Source organism: Homo sapiens, chromosome 3 (assembly GCF_000001405.40).
Source record: "Homo sapiens chromosome 3, GRCh38.p14 Primary Assembly".
Classification (NCBI taxonomy): Eukaryota; Metazoa; Chordata; class Mammalia; order Primates; family Hominidae; genus Homo; species Homo sapiens.
The window spans coordinates 43,146,616-43,153,398 of NC_000003.12; the positions used below are offsets into that span (position 1 = coordinate 43,146,616).

At 42.8% G+C, this 6,783-nt stretch overlaps 1 long non-coding RNA gene across 1 annotated transcript; it reads left to right on the top strand.

Annotated features, from left to right (window-relative positions):
- The first annotated feature begins 4,963 nt into the window (after nucleotides 1-4,963).
- LOC105377051 (uncharacterized) lies at nucleotides 4,964-6,514 on the top strand. Its single transcript, XR_940777.3, has 3 exons — nucleotides 4,964-5,018; nucleotides 5,504-5,561; nucleotides 6,199-6,514. It is a non-coding gene; the product is annotated as an uncharacterized LOC105377051 (long non-coding RNA).
- Nucleotides 6,515-6,783: the final 269 nt, after the last annotated feature.

Consider the following 6,783-nt stretch of genomic DNA (forward strand, 5'->3'; position numbering starts at 1 on the left):
TAAGTCCCTCACCCATGGATCAGGATCCCTGATAACAATAAGCAGCCAAGAACAGCACTCTCCTTCCCCACTGGGCCTAAGACTTCCTAAGCCTCCCCTTCCAAGAGACACTTGGGCAGCCAGGCATCTCAGACAAGAGTGATCTCATTGCAACAGGTGGCCCAGCCCCAGAAGTATCTTTGTCCCTGTGGGCTGGAGACTCCCCTCCTCCTCCTGGTGACTGGGTGGCCCTGGCAAGTGTATCCCACCACAAGTGCCCCAGCCCAGAAAGCAATCTTTGCTTTTGTGAGCCAGAGACTTCCTTTCTCCCATTAGAGGCACCAGGTGGTTGAGATCTGGAAAAGCTCCTTCTGCCCGATAGGCAGCATCCAGGGATCAGTGGGAGCCCCAGTGGCACTAGACACACCCTCAGGACAAACTGCACAGCAAAGGCTCTGAAAATTAAATTGTCATTGGAAGCAAAGCCCACAAAAGTAGACTTATGACATTTATTGTTTTTTGACTTTTTAATAATGGACATTCTGGCTTGGGTAGGGGGTATCTCATTGGGGTTTTAATCTGCATTTCCTTGATGACTAGTGATGTTGAGCAGTATAATGTCTATGCATGTCATTTGCCCACTTTTTAATGGGATTATTTGTTTTTTCTTTGTGATTTGTTTCAGTTCCTTGTAGATTCTGGGTATTAGTCCTTAGTCAGATGCATAGACTGCAAATATTTCCTCCCATTCTGTAGGTTGTCTGCTTACTCTGATGATTATTTATTTTGCTGTGCTGAAGCTTTTTAGTTTAATCAGGTCCCATTTATTTATTTTTGCTCTTGTTGCATTTGCTTTTGGGGTTTTCATCATAAATTCTTTGCCTGGGCCAACGTCTAGAAGAGTTTTTCCTAGGTTTCCATCTAGAATTTTATGGTTTCAGGTTTTAAGTCTTTAATCCATCTTGAGTTAATTTTTGTATATGATAAGAGGTAGGGATCCAGTTTTATTCTTCTACATGGGGCTATCCACCTTTCTCAGCACCATTTACTGAATAGGGTGTCCTTTCCTCACTGTATGTTCTTGTATGCTTTGTTGAAGATCAGTTGTTTGTAAGTATTTGGCTTTATTTATGGGTTCTCTATTCCATTCCATTGGTCTATGTATCTATTTTATACCAGTGCCATGTTGTTTTGATTACCATAGCCTTGTGGTATTCTTTGAAGTCAGGTAATGTGATGCCTCCAGATTTGTTCTTTTTCATTTAGATTGCTTTAGCTATTTGGGCTCTTTTTCAGTTCTATATGAATTTTAGGATTGTTTTTACTAATTCTGTGAAAAATGATATTGGTCTTTTGATAGCAATTGCACTGAATCTGTAGATTGCTTTGGGTATTACTGTTGTTTTCACAATATTAATTCTTCCATCCATAAGCATGGGATGTATTTTCATTTGTTTGTGCCATCTTTGACTTCTTTCAGCAGTGTTTTGTAGTTCTCTTTGTAGAGATCTTTGATCTCCTTGGTTAATTATTTGCCAAGGTTTTTTTTTTTTTTTTGTAGCTATTGTAAAAGGAATTGAGTTTTTTGACTCTCAGTTTGATCATTGTTGGTGTATAGCAGTGCTACTAATTTGTGTACATTGATTTTGTAACCTGAGACTTTACTGAATTCATTTATCAGATCTAGGAGTCTTTCTGAAGAGTCTTTAGGGCTTTCTAGGTATATGATCATATCATTGGCAGAGATAATTTGACTTCCTCTTTTCCAATTTGGGTGTCTTTTATTTTTTTCTCCTGTCAGATTGCTCTGGCTAGGACTTCCACACTGCCAGTTTCTTACCACAGTACCTGTGACTTACTCCCCAGGGTGTTCTCTGCTTGTAGAACTGTGCTTGATGTATGAGAAGCTGGGCAGGAATTCCAGGGAGTCCATGACCAGAAGCAACCTTCAATTAATAAGGGGAAAGAGTTGGTGGATAAATACCCCAGCTTCTGGCCCCTTGATAAGACACTTCTGAGGTATGATCTGCATAGTTGCTTAGTGGGTTCCCAGTAGGACTATACCCCAGTTACAGCACCAGTACCCACAGCTAATGTGATCATCATTATATACTCTATTGGCTTTCCTCCCTTCTTGGACTCTCTTTCCCCTTCTCTTACCATGCTTTTTTGAGACCACTTTCTGCTAATGGTCTGAATATTTGTGTCCCCCAAAATTCATATGTTGAAACCTAATCATCAATGCAATAGTATTAAGAGGTAGGGCCTTTAGAAGACAATTATTATCTCAGGAGGGCAAAATCCTGATGAATGGGATTAGTGCCGTTATATAAAAGGCCCAGGGGAGCTTGTTCACCCCTTCAGCCATGTGAGGACACGTAGATATAAGGTGCCATCTACGAGGAATTGGCCTTCACCAGACACTGAATCTGCTTGTGCCTCGAGGTTGGACTTTCCAGACTGCAGAACTGTGAGCAACAAATTTCTATGTTTATAAATTACCCAATCTAAGGTATTTTATTATAGCAGCCAGGACAAACCAAGACAGCTTCCAAATAAATTATCTGTACCCAAATTCTAGTCTCAAGATCTGCTTTATAAGGAATCAAAAGTGATACAGATGCTATGACACACTGTCAACCTGGGTGAGTTGCGGGCATGACTGCTCTGCCTACCAGTCCTGAGAGATGCACAGACGTCAGTGGAGATGCTCAGGCTGCAGTTGCTTTCATGACCTAATATAGATACTGTGTTGTTACCTTTCCCTTCATTGCCACTCTTGTGTCTTTATGTGGCTTGGTCATATTTTAACAGGAAAGATACATTATGAACCAATAGTAGAAATGAAGCTTAGAGATGAGATCCAAAACGCAAGACATTTTATCAAGGTCTAGGCAGGGGGAGGAAAGGAAGGGATAGGAGAATGAAGCAGAGGACAGAGACATGTCTCTACTAGGAAAAAATCCTGCTCATCTAAGAGCTCAAATAACTAGCTAGGCAAGGACGAGATCACAAAATCACTCTAGGCCACAGGATACAGTCAAATAGCATCACATAAGCAAAGCAACCGGTGAGTATTTGTTCCAATTACTATTTCTGTGTAACAAACTACTCCAAACTTAGTAGGGTAAAGCAACCACCATTTTGTTATGCTGATGAATCCTGTGGGTGTGAAATTTAGAAACTACATGTATCACTCCATTCTCACACTGCTATAAAGAACTGCCCAAGACTGGGTAATTTAGAAAGGAAAGAGGTTTAATGGTCTCACAGTTCCACATGGCTGGAGAGGTTTCAGGAAGCTTACAATCATGGTGGAAGTGGATGGGGAAGTAAGGCACCTTCTTCACAAAGTGGCAGGAGGGAGAAGTGCCCAGCGAAGGGGGTAAGAGCCCCTATAAAACCATCATATCTTGTGAGAACTCACTCACTATCATGAAAACAGCATTGGGGAACTGCCCCATGAGTCAATGACCTTCACCTGGTCTGTCTCTTGGCACATGGGGATTATGGGGATTACAATTCAAGATGAGATTTGGGTGGGGACACAAAGCCAAACCATATCACTACACAATAGGACCAGCTTGTGTCTGCCTTTATGATATCTGGAGTCTCAGCTGGGAAGGAAGGTTTGAAAGCTGGGAGTGACCCAACAGCTGGGGTATGGAACCACTGAAGGCTCATTTACTCACAGGTCTAATGGTTGATGCTGGCTGTTGACTGGATCCCCAGCTGGGACTGCCAGCTATGGCATCTACATGGGTCCTTTCCATATGGTTGCTTAGATCTCCTTATAGCATGGTAGCTGGGTTCCAGGAGTAAGCATCCCGATATAGGCAGAAGCTATATTGACTTTTATGACCCAGAAATAACCAAGTGTCATTTTCAATACCCTCAGAAGTTCACCCCAAATTGAGGGGAAGGAATATGGAATGAACACAATGTCTCAATGAGAAGAGTGTCATTGAGAGAAATCACTTTGAAAGAAGATAATGTGGGTTGAGAGACATTGCTGCACACATCTTAGGAAATGCAGTCTGCCACAATGTTCACTGAGCATCTACTATGTGTTTAGCCCTGTTTCAAGGGCTATGAGGTTCTCAAGATGGAGCCCTAGTGTCTGAATCCATGTTGGCTGGAAGGGGCTTCACACACTCCAGTTAGGGCTACTTCCTGGCTCACAGTGGCTCTACCTTCTCTGGGAACAGCCTTGAGATTGGTTGAGGATGGACAGCTTGTGCAAGCAAGGTCAAAACAGTCTTTTCTTAATTTCTCTAGCTGGTTCTGAGAAAAGTGGGGCAGCTGTTTCTAGCCATGTGTAGGAGGCCAGCCTGCACTAGGCAAGAATAAAGCTGACACTCGGAGAGAAACAGAAATGAGAGAGAGAGAGAGCCTCACAGCCTTTAGTTTCAGGCATCTCTGAGACCCATCAGCACCTTTGCCTTTCCCAGGTGTACATGAAATATCCTAGATCCTTCCCAAATAATTTCAAAAAAAAACAACAACAACAACAACAACTAAGCTTTTGAAGTTGAATGCTGTCACTTGCAACTGAAAGTGTTCTGCCACGCACAGGTATAAATAAGATGGAGCATTGTCCACAAGGGCTGGCCCCAGAGCAAGTAAGAACAATGTCAGCCATCAGATTCAAGGGTCAAGAGGGAGGTCATCATCTAATGGTGGGGTTAGATGTCAGGAGAGAAGGACACCAAGAGCTGGTCAGGAAATAGAGTTCAAGGGGACAAATGGAAGGTTTTGGAGTCACGCAGACACAAATTCAAATCCTGTCTCAGAGATTTGTTGCTGAACCTCTCAGAGCCTCAGTCTCCTTGTCTGTAAAATGGAACTAATGCCCATCTCATGGATTATTGAGAAGACTCAATGGCTACTGTTAGGATTTTGTACAAGGGCAGTTACCTGGGAAACCATGATTCATTCATATAGAAGTGCAAGATTCTGAATTGTTATTGTTCTACTCAACTTCATTTTATCTGAACCCGATTACTCAGCTGGGACATCACTCTCATGTAGAAACTGCTGTGAGTGTCTCATCCCATACCCTCCTGGGCCACCTCTGAGTTTGCCTGCAGATGGGGAATAGAGAACCCTACATGCTGCTGGTTTTCCTCCCCAAGCATGTATATTCTTTGCTCTTCTATATGAGGTGTTTTTTCACCATTGTGGGTGTTTGCTCTATCAAGAAATGAAGGGGAGATTATCCCCTGGGCTACTCTCATCCAACAAGGAAGAGAATCAGTGGACAAATGCTGCATCTTCCCTGTCTTCCAATGGAACAGTTGTGTTCTTCATGGTTTCTCAGGGGTCTGCCACAGAATTGAGCCCCAGCTGCTCACAGTGGTTACCCACTCATGAGCATATATCTGCTGGTTTTTCTCCTTTTCCTGTCTCACTTCCCTACCTCCAAACTTGGGAGTCTTACTACTTCCTGGGCTTTACCCAAGAATAGGGGTCCAGATGCTATCTATCCCCAGATTCTCTCAAACCTGTCTTATTGTTGTCCCAGAACTCACCAGGGATGCAGGAGGCTGGATGCAGGACTCCCCAGCTCATGGACCAAGCAGGTCTGTAGAATCTTTCCTGCTCTGTTGCTCTTTCCTGCAGCCAGGGAAATCTCTAGTTTTAGAATCAGGATGATTTGCTCTTACATTATTGTTCTTCCAAATCTATTATCTTTTTCATATTCTTGCTGAGTTCTATTGGGTCTAAAACATTAAAAGTCAGGAAAAAATATCCTTTTTCTCTAATCTACACTGCTTCCCTGAGGCAAAGAAATGCAAAAATAAGCTAAACAAAGCCTGGCTGATTAAATAAGAGTAAGGGTTGGGGAAAGGGCTGAGTATAGGAAAATATGATAAGAAAAACTCAGTCGGTATTTCAGAATATTAACCCACCTCATAGAGACAAGAAAAGTGAGGTACAAAGAGATCAAATGTCATGGTCAAGGCTCACACAGTTAATAAAAGAGCTGGGACCAGGTCCCAATGATGTGCTACATTTAGCCAAAAGTGTGGCTTTCAGAAAGTGCGTTGAAATCCACAATACCACATAGAATTAGGGTCCCCGAAGAGTAAGGTCTTCAGTACTTGCTGCATTAAATCAAATTCTGTCTTGCAGATCTTCAGTGTCTGCTGCATTAAATCAAATTCTGTCTTGCGGGTCTTCAGTTCCTGCTGCATTAAATCAAATTCTGTCTTGCAGAGACTAACATTGGCAGGGATCCAAAAAAAGTCTTTGCAGCACAGGACTATCCATTGTGAACGGCAACCACAGTCAGCAAGGCTCTGTTCCTTTAACGTGAAGACATTTTCCTTGTGGCGCTTGGTATTGCACATTTGATCTGTGTTCCATGCACAGCTTAGGCACTGAAAAGTAACCAGCTAACTTAGAGATTTCACCAACAGGTCCAGAACCATCTCCAGCTTCAGCTTGCCTTGATTTAGCCTGCAGGGTCTGTGCTCAGTCACCGAGCCAACCTTCGAAGTTGCGGAACGGGAAATAAGGGTCATGGAGTCTGAATGCATATTGTATACTGGATTTTTCTTTGGCTTGCTAATGTATTCAGATCAGAAATGAATAATGATTCTGTGCAGCAAGGTTACCAGTCCTTTCAATCTTTTTGAGCATTATTTTTGTTCTTCACCTCTGAAGACAGCACAGAGAGGATGGGTTCAGAGGAAATAAATGTTCCCTATACTCCTGGGTGTGCTCTCGTGTTCAGCCTTGTGGCCTGCCCCTCTCTCTGGGTGTCAGATGTCCGTATTCACTGCAGCCCTGTGCAGCTGC